This window comes from Homo sapiens, chromosome 3 (genome assembly GCF_000001405.40).
Source record: "Homo sapiens chromosome 3, GRCh38.p14 Primary Assembly".
NCBI classification, from domain to species: domain Eukaryota; kingdom Metazoa; phylum Chordata; class Mammalia; order Primates; family Hominidae; genus Homo; species Homo sapiens.
The window spans coordinates 91,093,697-91,115,270 of NC_000003.12; the positions used below are offsets into that span (position 1 = coordinate 91,093,697).

The 21,574-nt window shown below is 37.9% G+C and overlaps 1 annotated feature.

Moving 5' to 3' along the window:
• Positions 1-21,574: part of a centromere (Linear centromere model derived predominantly from reads generated in PMID: 17803354. This region does not represent an actual centromere sequence, as long-range ordering of repeats and unmapped WGS contigs is not provided by the model. For details of model production, see http://arxiv.org/abs/1307.0035.) that runs on past both edges of the window.

Sequence of the window (21,574 nt, forward strand, 5' to 3'; positions counted from 1 at the left end):
CCTCTTTGTGGCCTTCGTTTGAAACGTGATTTCTGCATTTACAACTAGACAGAAGAATTCTCAGAAACTTCTTTGTGATGTGTACCTTCAACTCACAGAGGTGAAGCTTCCTTTCAGTAGAGCACTTTTGAAACTCAGTTTCGGTAGAATTTCCAGGTGGATATTTAGCGCCGTTTGAGGCCTATGGTAGAAAAGGCAATATCTTCGTATGAGAACTAGACACAATGATTCTCAGAAGCTACTTTGTGATGTGTGGGTTCAACTCACTGAGTTTCACCTTTCTTTTGATAGACCAGTTATGAAACACTCTTTTTGTGGAATCTGCAAGTAAATTTTTGTACTTTTTTGAGGCCTTCATTGGAAACGGGGTTTCTTCATATAAACCTTGACAGAAGAATTCTCAGAAACTTCTCTGTGATGTGTGCGTTTAACTCTCAGAGTTCAACCTTCCTTTTGATAGAAGAGTGTTGAAATATTCTTTTTGCAGAATTTCCAAGTGAATATTTAGAGCGGTCTCAGGCCTATGTGGAAGAGAAACTATCTTCACGGAAAAACTAGACATAATTGTTCTCTGAAGCTACTCTGTGATGTGCGCATTCAGCTGACAGAGTTTAACCTTTCTTTGGATAGAGCGGTTTTCAACACACTTTTTGTGGAATTTGCAATTCTATATTTAGAGTGCTTTCAGGCCTGTGGTACAAAAGGGAATGTCTTCACATAAAATCTAGACAGAAGCATTGTCGGGAACTACTTTGGGATACCTGCCTTCAACTCTCAGAGTTGAATATTCCTCTTGATGGAGCAGTTTTGAGAAACTCTTTTTGTTGAATCTCCAAGTGGATATTTGGACCTCTTTGTGGCCTTCGTTTGAAACGTGACTGCTTCATACAAAAGTAGACAGAAGAATTCTCATAAACTTCTTCGTGATGTGTGCTTTCAACTCGCAGAGTTGAAGCTTCCTTTCGATAGAGCAGTCTTGTAACTCTCTTTTTGTAGAATTTCCAAGTGGATATTTAGCGCCGCTTGAGGCCTATGGTGGAGAAGGCGATATCTTCATAGAAAAACTAGACAGAATGATTCTCAGAAACTACTTTGTGATGTGTGCCTTAAACTCACAAGAGTTTAACCTTTCTTTTGATAGAGCAGTTTTGAAAAACTCTTTTTGTAGAATCTGCAAGTGTATATTGGGACTTTTCTGAGGCCATCTTTGGAAACGGGATTTCTTCATATAAAACTTGAAAGAAGAATCCTCAGAAAATTATTTGTGATATGTGCATTTAACTCATGGATTTGAAACTTCCTTTCGATAGAAGAGCTTTGCAATACTCTTTTTGTAGAATTTCCAAGTGGATTTTTACAGCGGTTTGAGGTCTATGGCAGGAAAAGAAATATCTTCACAGAAAAACTAGGCAGATTCATTCTCCGAAGCTGTTTAGTGATGCTTGCATTAAGCTGACAGAGTTTAAACTTCCTTTGATAGAGCAGTTTGGAAACACTCTTTTTGTGGAATTTGCAATTCTATATTTAGAGTGCTTTCAGGCCTGTGGTACAAAAGGGAATGTCTTCACATAAAATCTAGACAGAAGTATTGTCAGAAACTTATTTGTGATATTTGCATTCAACGCACGGAGTTGAACATTCCTCTTGATGGAGCCGTTTTGAAGCACTCTTTTTGTGGATTCTGCAAGTGGATATTTGGACCTCTTTGTGGCCTTCATGTGAAACGTGATTTCTTCATTTACAACTAGACAGAAGAATTCTCAGAAACTTCTTTGTGATGTGTACCTTCAACTCACAGAGGTGAAGCTTCCTTTCAATAGAGCACTTTTGAAACTCAGTTTTGGTAGAATTTCCAGGTGGATATTTTGCGCCGTTTGAGGCCTATGGTAGAAAAGGCAATATTCTTCGTAGGAGAACTAGACACAATGATTCTCAGAAACTACTTTGTGATGTGTGGGTTCACCTCACTGAGTTTAACCTTTCTTTTGATAGACCAGTTATGAAACACTCTTTTTGTAGAATCTGCAAGTAAATATTTGGACTTTTTTGAGGCCTTCATTGGAAACGGGATTTCTTCATAGAAACCTTGACAGAAGAATTCCCAGAAACTTCTTTGTGATGTGTGCATTGAACTCTCAGAGTTCAACCTTCCTTTTGATAGAAGAGTGTTGAAATATTCTTTTTGTAGAATTTCCAAGTGAATATTAAGATCGGTTTCAGGCCTATGTAGAAGAGAAAATATCTTCACAGAGAAACTAGACATAATTGTGCTCTGAAGCTGCTCTGTGATGTGCGCATTCAGCTGACAGAGTTTAACCTTTCTTTGGATAGAGCGGTTTTCAACACTCTTTTTGTGGAATTTGCAATTGTATATTTAGAGTGCTTTCAGGCCTGTGGGACAAAAGGGAATGTCTTCACATAAATTCTAGACAGAAGCATTGTTGGGAACTACTTTGTGATACCTGCCTTCAACTCTCAGAGTTGAATATTCCTCTTGATGGAGCAGTTTTGTAAAACTCTTTTTGTTGAATCTCCAAGTGGATATTTGGACCTCTTCGTGGCCTTCGTTTGAAACGTGACTGCTTCATACAAAAGTAGACAGAAGAATTCTCATAAACTTCTTCGTGATGTGTGCTTTCAACTCGCAGAGTTGAAGCTTCCTTTCGATAGAGCAGTCTTGTAACTCTCTTTTTGTAGAATTTCCAAGTGGATATTTAGCGCCGTTTGAGGCCTATGGTGGAAAAGGCAATATCTTCATAGAAAAACTAGTCAGAATGATTCTCAGAAACTTCTTTGTGATGTGTGCCTTCAACTCACAGAGTTTAACCTTCCTTTTGGTAGAGCAGTTTTGAAAAACTCTTTTTGTAGAATCTGCAAGTGTATATTGGGACTTTTCTGAGGCCATCTTTGGAAACGGGATTTCTTCATATAAAACTTGAAAGAAGAATCCTCAGAAAATTATTTGTGATATGTGCATTTTACTCATGGAGTTGAAAGTTCCTTTCGATAGAAGAGTTTTGAAATACTCTTTCTGTAGAATTTCCAAGTGGATTTTTACAGCGGTGTGAGGTCTATGGCAGCAAAAGAAATATCTTCACAGAAAAACTGGGCAGATTCATTCTCCGAAGCTGTTTTGTGATGCTTGCATTAAGCTGACAGAGTTTAAACTTCCTTTGATAGAGCAGTTTGGAAACACTCTTATTGTGGAATTTGCAAGTGTATATTTAGAGCGTTTTGAGGCCTACAGTAGGAAAGGAAATATCTTCACATAAAAACTAGACAGAAATATTGTCAGAAACTTATTTGTGATATTTGCATTCAACGCACAGAGTTGAACATTCCTCTTGATGGAGCAGTTTTCAAACCCTAATTTGCAGAATCTGCAGCTGGATATTTGGACCTCTTTGTGGCCTTCGTTTGAAATGTGATTTCTGCATTTACAACTAGACAGAAGAATTCTCAGAAACTTCTTTGTGATGTGTACCTTCAACTCACAGAGGTGAAGCTTCCTTTCAATAGAGCACTTTTGAAGCTCAGTTTTGGTAGAATTTCCAGGTGGATATTTAGCGCCGTTTGAGGCCTATGGTAGAAAAGGCAATATCTTCGTAGGAGAACTAGACACAATGATTCTCAGAAGCTACTTTGTGATGTGTGGGTTCTACTCACTGAGTTTAACCTTTCTTTTGATAGACCAGTTATGAAACACTCTTTCTGTGGAATCGGCAAGTAAATATTTGGACTTTTTTGAGGCCTTCATTGGAAACGGGGTTTCTTCATATAAACCTTGACAGAAGAATTCTCAGAAACTTCTCTGTGATGTGTGCGTTTAACTCTCAGAGTTCAACCTTCCTTTTGATAGAAGAGTGTTGAAATATTCTTTTTGCAGAATTTCCAAGTGAATATTTAGAGCGGTCTCAGGCCTATGTGGAAGAGAAACTATCTTCACGGAAAAACTAGACATAATTGTTCTCTGAAGCTACTTTGTGATGTGCGCATTCAGCTTACAGAGTTTAACCTTTCTTTGGATAGAGCAGTTTTAAACACTCTTTTTGTGGAATTTGCAATTCTATATTTAGAGTGCTTTCAGGCCTGTGGTACAAAAGGGAATGTCTTCACATAAAATCTAGACAGAAGCATTGTCGGGAACTACTTTGTGATACCTGCCTTCAACTCTCAGAGTTGAATATTCCTCTTGAAGGAGCATTTTTGAAAAACTCTTTTTGTTGAATCTCCAAGTGGATATTTGGTCCTCTTTGTGGCCTTCGTTTGAAACGTGACTGCTTCATACAAAAGTAGACAGAAGAATTCTCATAAACTTCTTCGTGATGTGTGCTTTCAACTCGCAGCGTTGAAGCTTCCTTTCGATAGAGCAGTTTAGTAACTCTCTTTTTGTAGAAGTTCCAAGTGGATATTTAGCGCCGTTTGAGGCCTATGGTGGAAAAGGCAATATCTTCATAGAAAAACTAGACAGAATGATTCTCAGAAACTACTGTGTGATGTGTGCCTTCAACTCACAGAGTTTAACCTTCCTTTTGATAGAGCAGTTTTGAAAAACTCTTTTTGTAGAATCTGCAAGTGCATATTGGGACTTTTCTGAGGCCAACTTTGGAAACGGGATTTCTTCATATAAAACTTGAAAGAAGAATCCTCAGAAAATTATTTGTGATATGTGCATTTAACTCATGGATTTGAAACTTCCTTTCGATAGAAGAGCTTTGCAATACTCTTTTTGTAGAATTTCCAAGTGGATTTTTACAGCGGTTTGAGGTCTATGCCAGGAAAAGAAATATCTTCACAGAAAAACTAGGCAGATTCATTCTCCGAAGCTGTTTTGTGATGCTTGCATTCAGCTGACAGAGTTTAAACTTCCTTTGATAGAGCAGTTTGGAAACACTCTTTTTGTGGAATTTGCAAGTGTATATTTAGAGCGCTTTGAGGCCTACAGTAGGAAAGGAAATATCTTCACCTAAAAACTAGACAGAAGTATTGTCAGAAACTTATTTGTGATATTTGCATTCAAAGCACAGAGTTGAACATTCCTCTTGATGGAGCCGTTTTGAAACACTCTTTTTGTAGAATCTGCAAGTGGATATTTGGACCTCTTTGTGGCCTTCGTGTGAAACGTGATTTCTTCATTTACAACTAGACAGAAGAATTCTCAGAAACTTCTTTGTGATGTGTACCTTCAACTCACAGAGGTGAAGCTTCCTTTCAATAGAGCACTTTTGAAGCTCAGTTTTGGTAGAATTTCCAGGTGGATATTTAGCGCCGTTTGAGGCCTATGGTAGAAAAGGCAATATCTTCGTAGGAGAACTAGACACAATGATTCTCAGAAGCTACTTTGTGATGTGTGGGGTCAACTCACTGAGTTTAACCTTTCTTTTGATAGACCAGTTATGAAACACTCTTTTTGTGGAATCGGCAAGTAAATATTTGGACTTTTTGGAGGCCTTCATTGGAAACGGGGTTTCTTCATGTAAACCTTGACAGAAGAATTCCCAGAAACTTCTTTGTGATGTGTGCATTTAACTCTCAGAGTTCAACCTTTCTTTTGACAGAAGAGTGTTGAAATATTCTTTTTCTAGAGTTTCCAAGTGAATATTTAGAGCGGTTTCAGGCCTATGTAGAAGAGAAAATATCTTCACAGAGAAACTAGACATAATTGTTCTCTGAAGCTACTTTGTGATGTGCGCATTCAGCTTACAGAGTTTAACCTTTCTTTGGATCGAGCGGTTTTAAACACTCTTTTTGTGGAATTTGCAATTCTATATTTAGAGTGCTTTCAGGCCTGTGGTACAAAAGGGAATGTCCTCACATAAAATCTAGACAGAAGCATTGTCGGAAACTAATTTGTGATACCTGCCTTCAACTCTCAGAGTTGAATATTCCTCTTGATGGAGCAGTTTTGAAAAACTCTTTTTGTTGAATCTCCAAGTGGGTATTTGGACCTCTTTGTGTCCTTAGTTTGAAACGTGACTGCTTCATACAAAAGTAGACACAAGAATTCTCATAAACTTCTTCGTGATGTGTGCTTTCAACTCGCAGCGTTGAAGCTTCCTTTCGATAGAGCACTTTTGTGACTCTCTTTTTGTAGAATTTCCAAGTGGATATTTGGCGCCGTTTGAGGCTTATGGTGGAAAAGGCAATATCTTCCTAGAAAAACTAGACAGAATGATTCTCAGAAACTACATTGTGATGTGTGCCTTCAACTCACAGAGTTTCACCTTTCTTTTGATAGAGCACTTTTGAAAAACTCTTTTTGTTGAATCTGCAAGTGTATATTGGGAATTTTCTGAGGCCATCTTTGGAAACGGGATTTCTTCGTATAAAACTTGAAGGAAGAATCCTCAGAAAATTATTTGAGATATGTGCATTTAACTCATGGAGTTGAAACTTCCTTTCGATAGAAGCGTTTTGAAATACTCTTTTTGTAGAATTTCCAAGTGGATTTTTACAGCGGTTTGAGGTCTATGGCGGAAAAAGAAATATCTTCACAGAAAAACTAGGCAGATTCATTCTCCGAAGCTGTTTTGTGATGCTTGCATTAAGCTGACAGAGTTTAAACTTCCTTTGATAGAGCAGTTTGGAAACACTCTTTATGTGGAATTTGCAAGTGTATATTTAGAGCGTTTTGAGGCCTACAGTAGGAAAGGAAATATCTTCACATAAAAACTAGACAGAAGTATTGTCAGAAACTTATTTGTGATATTTGCATTCAACGCACAAAGTTGAACATTCCTCTTGATGGAGCAGTTTTGAAACCCTCTTTTTGCAGAATCTGCAGGTGGATATTTGGACCTCTTTGTGGCCTTCGTTTGAAACGTGATTTCTTCATTTACAACTAGACAGAAGAATTCTCAGAAACTTCTTTGTGATGTGTACCTTCAACCCACAGAGGTGAAGCTTCCTTTCAATAGAGCACTTTTGAAACTCAGTTTTGGTAGAATTTCCAGGTGGATATTTAGCGCCGTTTGAGGCCTATGGTAGAAAAGGCAATATCTTCGCAGGAGAACTAGACAGAATGATTCTCAGAAACAACTTTGTGATGTGTGCGTTCAACTCACGGAGTTTAACCTTTCTATTGATAGACTAGTTATGAAACACTCTTTTTGTAGAATCTGCAAGTAAATATTTGGACTTTTTTGAGGCCTTCATTGGAAACGGGATCTCTTCATATAAACCTTGACAGAAGAATTCTCAGAAACTTCTCTGTGATGTGTGCATTTAACTCTCAGAGTTCAACCTTCCTTTTGATAGAAGAGTGTTGAAATATTCTTTTTGCAGAATTTCCAAGTGAATATTTAGAGCGGTCTCAGGCCTATGTGGAAGAGAAACTATCTTCACGGACAAACTAGACATAATTGTTCTCTGAAGCTACTCTGTGATGTGCGCATTCAGCTGACAGAGTTTAACCTTTCTTAGGATAGAGCGGTTTTAAACCCTCTTTTTGTGGAATTTGCAATTCTGTATTTAGAGTGCTTTCAGGCCTGTGGTACAAAAGGGAATGTCTTCACCTAAAATCTAGACAGAAGCATTGTCGGGAACTACTTTGGGATACCTGCCTTCAACTCTCAGAGTTGAATATTCCTCTTGATGGAGCAGTTTTGAAAAACTCTTTTTGTTGAATCTCCAAGTGGATATTTGGACCTCTTTGTGGCCTTCGTTTGAAACGTTATTTCTTCATTTACAACTAGACAGAAGAATTCTCATAAACTTCTTTGTGATGTGTGCTTCAACTCGCAGAGTTGAAGCTTCCTTTCGATAGAGCAGTTTTGTAACCCTATTTTTGTAGAATTTCCAAGTGGATATTTAGCGCCGTTTGAGGCCTATGGTGGAAAAGGCAATATCTTCATAGAAAAACTAGACAGAAATGATTCTCAGAAACTACTCAGTGATGTGTGCCTTCAACTCACAGAGTTTAACCTTCCTTTTGATAGAGCAGTTTTAAAAAACTCTTTTTGTAGAATCTGCAAGTGTATATTGGGACTTTTCTGAGGCCAACTTTGGAAACGGGATTTCTTCATATAAAACTTGAAAGAAGAATCCTCAGAAAATTATTTGTGATATGTGCATTTAACTCATGGAGCTGAAACTTCCTTTCGATAGAAGAGCTTTGAAAAACTCTTTTTGTAGAATTTCCAAGTGGATTTTTACAGCGGTTTGAGGTCTATGGCAGAAAAAGAAATATCTTCACAGAAAAACTAGGCAGATTCATTCTCCGAAGCTGTTTTGTGATGCTTGCATTAAGCTGACAGAGTTTAAACTTTTTTTGATAGAGCAGTTTGGAAACACTCTTTTTGTGGAATTTGCAAGTGTATATTTAGAGCGTTTTGAGGCCTACAATAGGAAAGGAAATATCTTCACATAAAAGCTAGACAGAAGTATTGTCAGAAACTTATTTGTGATATTTGCATTCAACGCACGGAGTTGAACATTCCTCTTGATGGAGCCGTTTTGAAGCACTCTTTTTGTGGAATCTGCAAGTGGATATTTGGACCTCTTTGTGGCCTTCCTGTGAAACGTGATTTCTTCATTTACAACTAGACAGAAGAATTCTCAGAAACCTCTTTGTGATGTGTACTTTCAACTCACAGAGTTGAAGCTTCCTTTCAATAGAGCACTTTTGAAACTCAGTTTCTGTAGAATTTCCAGGTGGATATTTAGCGCCGTTTGAGGCCTATGGTGGAAAAGGCAATATCTTCGTAGAAAAACTAGACAGAATGATTCTCAGAAACAACTTTGTGATGTGTGCGTTCAACTCACGGAGTTTAACCTTTCTTTTGATAGACCAGTTATGAAACACTCTTTTTGTAGAATCTGCAAGTAAATATTTGGACTTTTCTGAGGCCTTCATTGGAAACGGGATCTCTTCATATAAACCTTGACAGAAGAATTCCCAGAAACTTCTCTGTGATGTGTGCATTTAACTCTCAGAGTTCAACCTTCCTTTTGATAGAAGAGGGTTGAAATTTTCTTTTTGTAGAATTTCCAAGTGAATATTTAGAGCGCTTTCAGGCCTAAGTAGAAGAGAAAGTATCTTCACAGAAAAACTAGACATAATTGTTCTCTGAAGCTACTCTGTGATGTGCGCATTCAGCTGACAGAGTTTAACCTTTCTTTGGATAGAGCGGTTTTAAACACTCTTTTTGTGGAATTTGCAATTCTATATTTAGAGTGCTTTCAGGCCTGTCGTACAAAAGGGAATGTCTTCACATAAAATCTAGACAGAAGCGTTGTCGGAAACTACTTTGTGATACCTGCCCTCAACTCTCAGAGTTGAATATTCCTCTTGACGGAGCAGTTTTGAAAAACTCTTTTTGTGGAATCTCCAAGTGGATATTTGGACCTCTTTGTGGCCTTCGTTTGAGACGTGACTTCTTCATACAAAACTAGACAGAAGAATTCTCATAAACTTCTTCGTGATGTGTGCTTTCAACTCGCAGCGTTGAAGCTTCCTTTCGATAGAGCAGTTTAGTAACTCTCTTTTTGTAGAATTTCCAAGTGGATATTTAGCGCCGTTTGAGGCCTATGGTGGAAAAGGCAATATCTTCATAGAAAAACTAGACAGAATGATTCTCAGAAACTACTTTGTGATGTGTGCCTTCAACTCACAGAGTTTAACCTTCCTTTTGGTAGAGCAGTTTTGAAAAACGCTTTTTGTAGAATCTGCAAGTGTATATTGGGACTTTTCTGAGGCCATCTTTGGAAACGGGATTTCTTCATATAAAACTTGAAAGAATAATCCTCAGAAAATTATTTGTGATATGTGCATTTAACTCATGGAGTTGAAACTTCCTTTCGATAGAAGAGTTTTGAAATACTCTTTTTGTAGAATTTCCAAGTGGATTTTTACAGCGGTGTGAGGTCTATGGCAGAAAAAGAAATATCTTCACAGAAAAACTAGGCAGATTCATTCTCCGAAGCTGTTTTGTGATGCTTGCATTCAGCTGACAGAGTTTAAACTTCCTTTGATAGAGCAGTTTTGAAACACTCTTTTTGTGGAATTTGCAAGTTTCTCTTTAGAGCGTTTTGAGGCCTACAGTAGGAAAGGAAATATCTTCACCTAAAAACTAGACAGAAAGTATTGTCAGAAACTTATTTGTGATATTTGCATTCAACGCACAGAGTTGAACATTCCTCGTGATGGAGCAGTTTTGAAACACTCTTTTTGTAGAATCTGCAAGTGGATATTTGGACCTCTTTGTGGCCTTCGTTTGAAACGTGATTTCTTCATTTACAACTAGACAGAAGAATTCTCAGAAACTTCTTTGTGATGTGTACCTTCAACTCACAGAGGTGAAGCTTCCTTTCAATAGAGCACTTTTGAAACTCAGTTTTGGTAGAATTTCCAGGTGGATATTTTGCGCCGTTTGAGGCCTATGGTAGAAAAGGCAATATCTTCGTAGGAGAACTAGACACAATGATTCTCAGAAACTACTTTGAGATGTGTGGGTTCAACTCACTGAGTTTAACCTTTCTTTTGATAGACCAGTTACGAAACACTCTTCTTGTAGAATCTGCAAGTAAATATTTGGACTTTTTTGAGGCCTTCATTGGAAACGGGATATCTTCATAGAAACCTTGACAGAAGAATTCTCAGAAACTTCTCTGTGATGTGTGCGTTTAACTCTCAGAGTTCAACCTTCCTTTTGATAGAAGAGTGTTGAAATATTCTTTTTGTAGTATTTCCAAGTGAATATTTAGAGCGGTTTCAGGCCTATGTAGAAGAGAACCTATCTTCACAGAAAAACTAGACATAACTGTTCTCTGAAGCTGCTCTGTGATGTGCGCATTCAGCTGACAGAGTTTAACCTTTCTTTGGATAGAGCGGTTTTCAACACTCTTTTTGTGGAATTTGCAATTCTATATTTAGAGTGCTTTCAGGCCTGTGGTACAAAAGGAAATGTCTTCACTTAAAATCTAGACAGAAGCATTGTCGGGAACTACTTTGTGATACCTGCCTTCAACTCTCAGAGTTGAATATTCCTCTTGACGGAGCAGTTTTGAAAAACTCTTGTTGTTGAATCTCCAAGTGGATATTTGGACCTCCTTGTGGCCTTCGTTTGAAACGTGACTGCTTCATACAAAAGTAGACAGAAGAATTCTCATAAACTTCTTCGTGATGTGTGCTTTCAACTCGCAGCGTTGAAGCTTCCTTTCGATAGAGCAGTTTAGTAACTCTCTTTTTGTAGAATTTCCAAGTGGATATTTAGCGCCGTTTGAGGCCTATTGTGGAAAAGGCAATATCTTCATAGAAAAACGAGACAGAATGATTCTCAGAAACTACTTTGTGATGTGTGCCTTCAACTCACAGAGTTTAACCTTTCTTTTGATAGAGCAGTTTTGAAAAACTCTTTTTGTAGTATATGCAAGTGTATATTGGGACTTTTCTGAGGCCATCTTTGGAAACGGGATTTCTTCATATAAAACTTGAAAGAAGAATCCTCAGAAAATTATTTGTGGTATGTGCATTTAACTCATGGAGTTGAAACTTCCTTTCGATAGAAGAGTTTTGACATACTCTTTTCGTAGGATTTCCAAGTGGATTTTCACAGCGGTTTGAGGTCTATGGCAGAAAAAGAAATATCTTCACAGAAAAACTAGGCAGATTCATTCTCCGAAGCTGTTTTGTGATGCTTGCATTCAGCTGACAGAGTTTAAACTTCCTTTGATAGAGCATTTTTGAAACACTCTTTTTGTGGAATTTGCAAGTGTATATTTAGAGCGTTTTGAGGCCTACAGTAGGAAAGGAAATATCTTCACCTAAAAACTAGACAGAAGTATTGTCAGAAACTTATTTGTGATATTTGCATTCAACGCACAGAGTTGAACATTCCTCTTGATGGAGCAGTTTTGAAACCCTCTTTTTGCAGAATCTGCAGGTGGATATTTGGACCTCTTTGTGGCCTTCGTTTGAAACGTGATTTCTTCATTTACAACTAGACAGAAGAATTCTCAGAAACTTCTTTGTGATGTGTACCTTCAACTCACAGAGTTGAAGCTTCCTTTCAATAGAGCACTTTTGAAACTCAGTTTTTGTAGAATTTCCAGGTGGATATTTAGCGCCGTTTGGGGCCTATGGTAGAAAAGGCAATATCTTCGTAGGAAAACTAGACAGAATGATTCTCAGAAATAACTTTGTGATGTGTGCGTTCAACTCACGGAGTTTAACCTTTCTTTTGATAGACCAGGTATGAAACACTCTTTTTGTAGAATCTGCAAGTAAATATTTGGACTTTTTTGAGGCCTTCATTGGAAACGGGATTTCTTCATATAAACCTTGACAGAAGAATTCTCAGAAACTTCTCTGTGATGTGTGCGTTTAACTCTCAGAGTTCAACCTTCCTTTTGATAGAAGAGTGTTGAAATATTCTTTTTGCAGAATTTCCAAGTGAATATTTAGAGCCGTCTCAGGCCTATGTGGAAGAGAAACTATCTTCACGGAAAAACTAGACATAATTGTTCTCTGAAGCTACTTTGTGATGTGCTCATTCAGCTTACAGAGTTTAACCTTTCTTTGGATCGAGCGGTTTTAAACACTCTTTTTGTGGAATTTGCAATTCTATATTTAGAGTGCTTTCAGGCCTGTGGTACAAAAGGGAATGTCCTCACATAAAATCTAGACAGAAGCATTGTCGGAAACTACTTGGTGATACCTGTCTTCAACTCTCAGAGTTGAATATTCCTCTTGATGGAGCAGTTTTGAAAAACTCTTTTTGTTGAATCTCCAAGTGGGTATTTGGACCTCTTTGTGGCCTTCGTTTGAAACGTGACTGCTTCATACAAAAGTAGACACAAGAATTCTCATAAACTTCTTCGTGATGTGTGCTTTCAACTCGCAGCGTTGAAGCTTCCTTTCGATAGAGCACTTTTGTGACTCTCTTTTTGTAGAATTTCCAAGTGGATATTTGGCGCCGTTTGAGGCTTATGGTGGAAAAGGCAATATCTTCCTAGAAAAACTAGACAGAATGATTCTCAGAAACAACTCTGTGATGTGTGCCTTCAACTCACAGAGTTTAACCTTCCTTTTGATTGAGCAGTTTTGAAAAACTCTTTTTGTAGAATCTGCAAGTGTATATTGGGACTTTTCTGAGGCCAACTTTGGAAACGGGATTTCTTCATATAAAACTTGAAAGAAGAATCCTCAGAAAATTATTTGTGATATGTGCATTTAACTCATGGAATTGAAACTTCCTTTCGATAGAAGAGTTTTGACATCCTCTTTTTGTAGAATTTCCAAGTGGATTTTTACAGCGGTTTGAGGTCTATGGCAGAAAAAGAAATATCTTCACAGAAAAACAAGGCAGATTCATTCTCCGAAGCTGTTTTGTGATGCTTGCATTAGGCATACAGAGTTTAAACTTCCTTTGATAGAGCAGTTTTGAAACACTCTTTTTGTGGAATTTGCAAGTGTATATTTAGAGCGTTTTGAGGCCTACAGTAGGAAAGGAAATATCTTCACGTAAAAACTAGACAGAAGTATTGTCAGAAACTTATTTGTGATATTTGCATTCAACGCACAGAGTTGAACATTCCTCGTGATGGAGCAGTTTTGAAACACTCTTTTTGTAGAATCTGCAAGTGGATATTTGGACCTCTTTGTGGCCTTCGTTTGAAACGTGATTTCTTCATTTACAACTAGACAGAAGAATTCTCAGAAACTTCTTTGTGATGTGTACTTTCAACTCACAGAGTTGAAGCTTCCTTTCAATAGAGCACTTTTGAAACTCAGTTTCTGTAGAATTTCCAGGTGGATATTTAGCGCCGTTTGAGGCCTATGGTGGAAAAGGCAATATCTTCGTAGAAAAACTAGACAGAATGATTCTCAGAAGCTACTTTGTGATGTGTGGGTTCAACTCACTGAGTTTCACCTTTCTATTGATAGACCAGTTATGAAACACTCTTTTTGTGGAATCTGCAAGTAAATATTTGGACTTTTTTGAGGCCTTCATTGGAAACGGGGTTTCTTCATATAAACCTTGACAGAAGAATTCTCAGAAACTTCTCTGTGATGTGTGCGTTTAACTCTCAGAGTTCAACCTTCCTTTTGATAGAAGAGTGTTGAAATATTCTTTTTGTAGAATTTCCAAGTGAATATTTAGAGCAGTTTCAGGCCTATGTAGAAGAGAAACTATCTTCACAGAAAAACTAGACATAATTGTTCTCTGAAGCTACTTTGTGATGTGCGCATTCAGCTTACAGAGTTTAACCTTTCTTTGGATAGAGCGGTTTTAAACACTCTTTTTGTGGAATTTGCAATTCTATATTTAGAGTGCTTTCAGGCCTGTGGTACAAAAGGGAATGTCCTCACATAAAATCTAGACAGAAGCATTGTCGGGAACTACTTTGGGATACCTGCCTTCAACTCTCAGAGTTGAATATTCCTCTTGATGGAGCAGTTTTGAAAAACTCTTTTTGTTGAATCTCCAAGTGGATATTTGGACCTCTTTGTGGCCTTCGTTTGAAACGTGACTGCTTCATACAAAATTAGACAGAAGAATTCTCATAAACTTCTTCGTGATGTGTGCTTTCAACTCGCAGCGTTGAAGCTTCCTTTCGATAGAGCAGTTTTTTAACTCTCTTTATGTAGAATTTCCAAGTGGATATTTAACGCCGTTTGAGGCCAATGGTGGAAAAGGCAATATCTTCATAGAAAAACTAGACAGAATGATTCTCAGAAACTACTTTGTGATGTGTGCCTTCAACTCACAGAGTTTAACCTTTCTTTTGATAGAGCAGTTCTGAAAAACTCTTTTGGTAGAATCTGCAAGTGTATCTTGGGACTTTTCTGAGGCCATCTTTGGAAACGGGATTTCTTCATATAAAACTTGAAAGAAGAATCCTCAGAAAATTATTTGTGATATGTGCATTTAACTCGTGGAGTTGAAACTTCCTTTCGACAGAAGAGTTTTGAAATACTCTTTTTGTAGGATTTCCAAGTGGATTTTCAGAGCGGTTTGAGGTCTATGGCAGAAAAAGAAATATCTTCACAGAAAAACTAGGCAGATTCATTCTCCGAAGCTGTTTTGTGATGCTTGCATTAAGCTGACAGAGTTTAAACTTCCTTTGATAGAGCAGTTTGGAAACACTCTTTTTGTGGAATTTGCAAGTGTATATTTAGAGCGTTTTGAGGCCTACAGTAGGAAAGGAAATAACTTCACATAAAAACTAGACAGAAGTATTGTCAGAAACTTATTTGTGATATTTGCATTCAACGCACAGAGTTGAACATTCCTCTTGATGGAGCAGATTTGAAACCCTCTTTTTGCAGAATCTGCAGCTGGATATTTGGACCTCTTTGTGGCCTTCGTTTGAAACGTGATTTCTGCATTTACAACTAGACAGAAGACTTCTCAGAAACTTCTTTGTGATGTGTACCTTCAACTCACAGAGGTGAAGCTTCCTTTCAATAGAGCACTTTTGAAGCTCAGTTTTGGTAGAATTTCCAGGTGGATATTTAGCGCCGTTTGAGGCCTATGGTAGAAAAGGCAATATCTTCGTAGGAGAACTAGACAGAATGATTCTCAGACACTACTTTGTGATGTGTGGGTTCAACTCACTGAGTTTAACCTTTCTTTTGATAGACCAGTTATGAAACACTCTTTTTGTAGAATCTGCAAGTAAATATTTGGACTTTCTTGAGGCCTTCATTGGAAACGGGATTTCTTCATATAAGCCTTAACAGAAGAATTCTCAGAAACTTCTCTGTGATGTGTGCGTTTAACTCTCAGAGTTCAACCTTCCTTTTGATAGAAGAGTGTTGAAATATTGTTTTTGTAGAATTTCCAAGTGAATATTTAGAGCGGTTTCAGGCCTATGTAGAAGAGAATCTATCTTCACAGAAAAACTAGACATAACTGTTCTCTGAAGCTGCTCTGTGATGTGCGCATTCAGCTGACAGATATTAACCTTTCTTTGGATAGAGCGGTTTTCAACAATATTTTGTGGAATTTGCAATTCTATATATAGAGGGCTTTCAGGCATGTGGTACAAAAGGGAATGTCTTCACATAAAATCTAGACAGAAGCGTTGTCGGAAACTACTTTGTGATACCTGCCTTCAACTCTCAGAGTTGAATATTCCTCTTGACGGAGCAGTTTTGAAAAACGCTTTTTGTTGAATCTCCAAGTGGATATTTGGACCTCTTTGTGGCCTTCGTTTGAGACGTGACTTCTTCCTACAAAACTAGACAGAAGAATTCTCATAAACTTCTTCGTGATGTGTGCTTTCAACTCGCAGAGTTGAAGCTTCCTTTCGATAGAGCAGTCTTGTAACTCTCTTTTTGTAGAATTTCCAAGTGGATATTTAGCGCCGTTTGAGGCCTATGGTGGAGATGGCGATATCTTCATAGAAAAACTAGACAGAATGATCCTCAGAAACTACTGTGTGATGTGTGCCTTCAACTCACAGAGTTTGACCTTTCTTTTGATTTAGCAGTTTTGAAAAACTCTTTTTGTAGAATCTGAAAGTGTATATCTGGACTTTTCTGAGGCCATCTTTGGAAACGGGATTTCTTCATATAAAACTTGAAAGAAGAATCCTCAGAAAATTATTTGTGATATGTGCATTGAACTCATGGAGTTGAAACTTCCTTTCGATAGAAGAGTTTTGAAATACTCTTTTTGTAGAATTTCCAAGTGGATTTTTACAGCGGTTTGAGGTCTATGGCAGCAAAAGGAATATCTTCACAGAAAAACTAGGCAGATTCATTCTCCGAAGCTGTTTTGTGATGCTTGCATTAAGCGGACAGAGTTTAAACTTCCTTTGATAGAGCAGTTTGGAAACACTCTTTTTGTGGAATTTGCAAGTGTATCTTTAGAGCGTTTTGAGGCCTACAGTAGGAAAGGAAATATCTTCACATAAAAACTACACAGAAGTATTGTCAGAAACTTATTTGTGATATTTGCATTCAACGCACAGAGTTGAACATTCCTCTTGATGGAGCCGTTTTGAGACACTCTTTTTGTAGAATCTGCAAGTGGATATTTGGACCACTTTGTGGCCTTCGTGTGAAACGTGATTTCTTCATTGACAACTAGACAGAAGAATTCTCAGAAACTTCTTTGTGATGTGTACCTTCAACTCACAGAGTTGAAGCTTCCTTTCAATAGAGCACTTTTGAAACTCAGTTTTTGTAGAATTTCCAGGTGGATATTTAGCGCCGTTTGAGGCCTAAGGTAGAAAAGGCAATATCTTCGTAGGAAAACTAGACAGAATGATTCTCAGAAGCTACTTTGGGATGCGTGGGTTCAACTCACTGAGTTTAACCTTTCTTTTGATAGACCAGTTATGAAACACTCTTTCTGTGGAATCGGCAAGTAAATATTTCGACTTTTTTGAGGCCTTCATTGGAAACGGGGTTTCTTCATATAAACCTTGACAGAAGAATTCTCAGAAACTTCTCTGTGATGTGTGCATTTAACTCTCAGAGTTCAACCTTCCTTTTGATAGAAGAGTGTTGAAATATTCTTTTTGCAGAATTTCCAAGTGAATATTTAGAGCGGTCTCAGGCCTATGTGGAAGAGAAACTATCTTCACGGAAAAACTAGACATAATTGTTCTCTGAAGCTACTTTGTGATGTGCGCCTTCAGCGGACAGAGTTTAACCTTTCTTTGGATAGAGCGGTTTTAAGCACTCTTTCTGTGGAATTTGCAATTCTATATTTAGAGTGCTTTCAGGCCTGTGGTACAAAAGGGAATGTCTTCACATAAAATCTAGACAGAAGCATTGTCGGGAACTACTTTGGGATACCTGCCTTCAACTCTCAGTGTTGAATATTCCTCTTGATGGAGCAGTATTGAAAAACTCTTTTTTTGAATCTCCAAGTGGATATTTGGACCTCTTTGTGGCCTTCGTTTGAAACGTGACTGCTTCATACAAAAGTAGACAGAAGAATTCTCATAAACTTCTTCGTGATGTGTGCTTTCCACTCGCAGAGTTGAAGCTTCCTTTCGATAGAGCAGTCTAGTAACTCTCTTATTGTAGAATTTCCAAGTGGATATTTAGCGCCGTTTGAGGACTATGGTGGAGAAGGCGATATCTTCCTAGAAAAACTAGACAGAATGATTCTCAGAAACTACTCTGTGATGTGTGCCTTCAACTCACAGAGTTTAACCTTCCTTTTGATAGAGCAGTTTTGAAAAACTCTTTTTGTAGAATCTGCAAGTGTATATTGGGACTTTTCTGAGGCCATCTTTGGAAACGGGATTTCTTCATATAAATCTTGAAAGAAGAATCCTCAGAAAATTATTTGTGATATGTGCATTTAACTCATGGAGTTGAAACTTCCTTTCGATAGAAGAGTTTTGAAATACTCTTTTTGTAGAATTCCCAAGTGGATTTTTACAGCGGTTTGAGGTCTATGGCTGCAAAAGGAATATCTTCACAGAAAAACTAGGCAGATCCATTCTCCGAAGCTGTTTTGTGACGCTTGCATTCAGCTGACAGAGTTTAAACTTCCTTTGATAGAGCAGTTTTGAAACACTCTTTTTGTGGAATTTGCAAGTGTATATTTAGAGCGTTTTGAGGCCTGCAGTAGGAAAGGAAATATCTTCACCTAAAAACTAGACAGAAGTATTGTCAGAAACTTATTTGTGATATTTGCATTCAACGCACGGAGTTGAACATTCCTCTTGATGGAGCCGTTTTGAGCACTCTTTTTGTGGAATCTGCAAGTGGATATTTGGACCTCTTTGTGGCCATCGTGTGAAACGTGATTTCTTCATTTACAACTAGACAGAAGAATTCTCAGAAACTTCTTTGTGATGTGTACTTTCAACTCACAGAGTTGAAGCTTCCTTTCAATAGAGCACTTTTGAAACTCAGTTTCTGTAGAATTTCCAGGTGGATATTTAGCGCCGTTTGAGGCCTATGGTGGAAAAGGCAATATCTTCGTAGAAAAACTAGACAGAATGATTCTCAGAAGCTACTTTGTGATGTGTGGGTTCAACTCACTGAGTTTAACCTTTGTTTTGATAGGCCAGTTATGAAACACTCTTTTTGTGGAATCTGCAAGTAAATATTTGGACTTTTTTGAGGCCTTCATTGGAAACGGGGTTTCCTCGTATAAACCTTGACAGAAGAATTCTCAGAAACTAATCTGTGATGTGTGCGTTTACCACTCAGAGTTCCACCTTCCTTTTGATAGAAGAGTGTTGAAATATTCTTTTTGCAGAATTTCCAAAGGAATATTTAGAGCGGCCTCAGGCCTATGTAGAAGAGAATCTATCTTCACGGAAAAACTAGGCATAATTGTTCTCTGAAGCTGCTCTGTGATGTGCGCATTCAGCTGACAGAGTTTAACCTTTCTTTGGATAGAGCGGTTTTAAACACTCTTTTTGTGGAATTTGCAATTCTATACTTAGAGTGCTTTCAGACCTGTGGTACAAAAGGGAATGTCTTCACATAAAATCTAGACAGAAGCATTGTCGGAAACTACTTTGTGATACCTGCCTTCAACTCTCAGAGTTGAACATTCCTCTTGATGGAGCAGTTTTGAAAAACTCTTTTTGTTGAATCTCCAAGTGGATATTTGGACCTCTTTGTGGCCTTCGTTTGAGACGTGACTTCTTCATACAAAAGTAGACAGAAGAATTCTCATAAACTTCTTCGTGATGTGTGCTTTCCACTAGCAGAGTTGAAGCTTCCTTTCGATAGAGCAGTCTTGTAACTCTCTTTTTGTAGAATTTCCAAGTGGATATTTAGCGCCGTTTGAGGCCTATGGTGGAGAAGGCGATATCTTCATAGAAAAACTAGACAGAATGAGTCTCAGAAACTACTGTGTGATGTGTGCCTTCAACTCACCGAGTTTAACCTTTCTTTTGATAGAGCAGTTTTGAAAAACTCTTTTTGTAGAATCTGCAAGTGTATATTGGGACTTTTCTGAGGCCATCTTTGGAAACGGGATTTCTTCATATAAAACTTGAAAGAAGAATCCTCAGAAAATTATTTGTGATATGTGCATTTAACTCATGGAGTTGAAACTTCCTTTCGATAGAAGAGTTTTGAAATACTCTTTTTGTGGAATTTCCAAGTGGATTTTTACAGCGGTTTGAGGTCTATGGCAGAAAAAGGAATATCTTCACAGAAAAACTAGGCAGATTCATTCTCCGAAGCTGTTTTGTGATGCTTCCATTAAGCTGACAGAGTTTAAACTTCCTTTGATAGAGCAGTTTGGAAACACTGTTTTTGTGGAATTTGCAATTCTATATTTAGAGTGCTTTCAGGCCTGTGGTACAAAAGGGAATGCCTTCACATAAAATCTAGACAGAAGCATTGTCGGGAAGTACTTTGTGATACCTGCCTTCAAATCTCAGAGTTGAATATTCCTCTTGATGGAGCAGTTTTGAAAAACTCTTTTTGTTGAATCTCCAAGTGGATATTTGGACCTCTTTCTGGCCTTCGTTTGAAACGTGACTGCTTCATACAAAAGTAGACAGAAGAATTCTCAGAAACTTCTTTGTGATGTGTACCTTCAACCCACAGAGGTGAAGCTTCCTTTCAATAGAGCACTTTTGAAACTCAGTTTTGGTAGAATTTCCAGGTGGATATTTAGCGCCGTTTGAGGCCTATGGTAGAAAAGGCAATATCTTCGTAGGAGAACTAGACAGAATGATTCTCAGAAGCTACTTTGTGATGTGTGGGTTCAACTCACTGAGTTTAACCTTTCTTTTGATAGACCAGTTATGAAACCCTCTTTCTGTGGAATCGGCAAGTAAATATTTGGACTTTTTTGAGGCCTTCATTGGAAACGGGCTTTCTTCATATAAACCTTGACAGAAGAATTCTCAGAAACTTCTCTGTGATGTGTGCGTTTAACTCTCAGAGTTCAACCTTCCTTTTGATAGAAGAGTGTTGAAATATTCTTTTTGTAGAATTTCCAAGTGAATATTTAGAGCGGTTTCAGGCCTATGTAGAAGAGAAAATATCTCCACAGAAAAACTAGACACAATTGTTCTCTGAAGCTGCTCTGTGATGTGCGCATTCAGCTGACAGAGTTTAACCTTTCTTTGGATAGAGCGGTTTTCAACACTCTTTTTGTGGAATTTGCAATTCTATATTTAGAGTGCTTTCAGGCCTGTGGTACAAAAGGGAATGTCTTCACATAAAATCTAGACAGAAGCGTTGTCGGAAACTTGTTTGTGATACCTGCCCTCAACTCTCAGAGTTGAATATTAATCTTGACGGAGCAGTTTTGAAAAACTCTTTTTGTTGAATCTCCAAGTGGATATTTGGACCTCTTTGTGGCCTTCGTTTGAGACGTGACTTCTTCATACAAAACTAGACAGAAGAATTCTCATAAACTTCTTGGTGATGTGTGCTTTCAACTCGCAGCGTTGAAGCTTCCTTTCGATAGAGCAGTTTAGTAACTCTCTTTTTGTAGAATTTCCAAGTGGATATTTAGCGCCGTTTGAGGCCTATGGTGGAAAAGGCAATATCTTCATAGAAAAACTAGACAGAATGATTCTCAGAAACTACTTTGTGATGTGTGCCTTCAACTCACAGAGTTTAACCTTTCTTTTGATAGAGCAGTTTTGAAAAACTCTTTTTGTAGAATCTGCAAGTGTATATTGG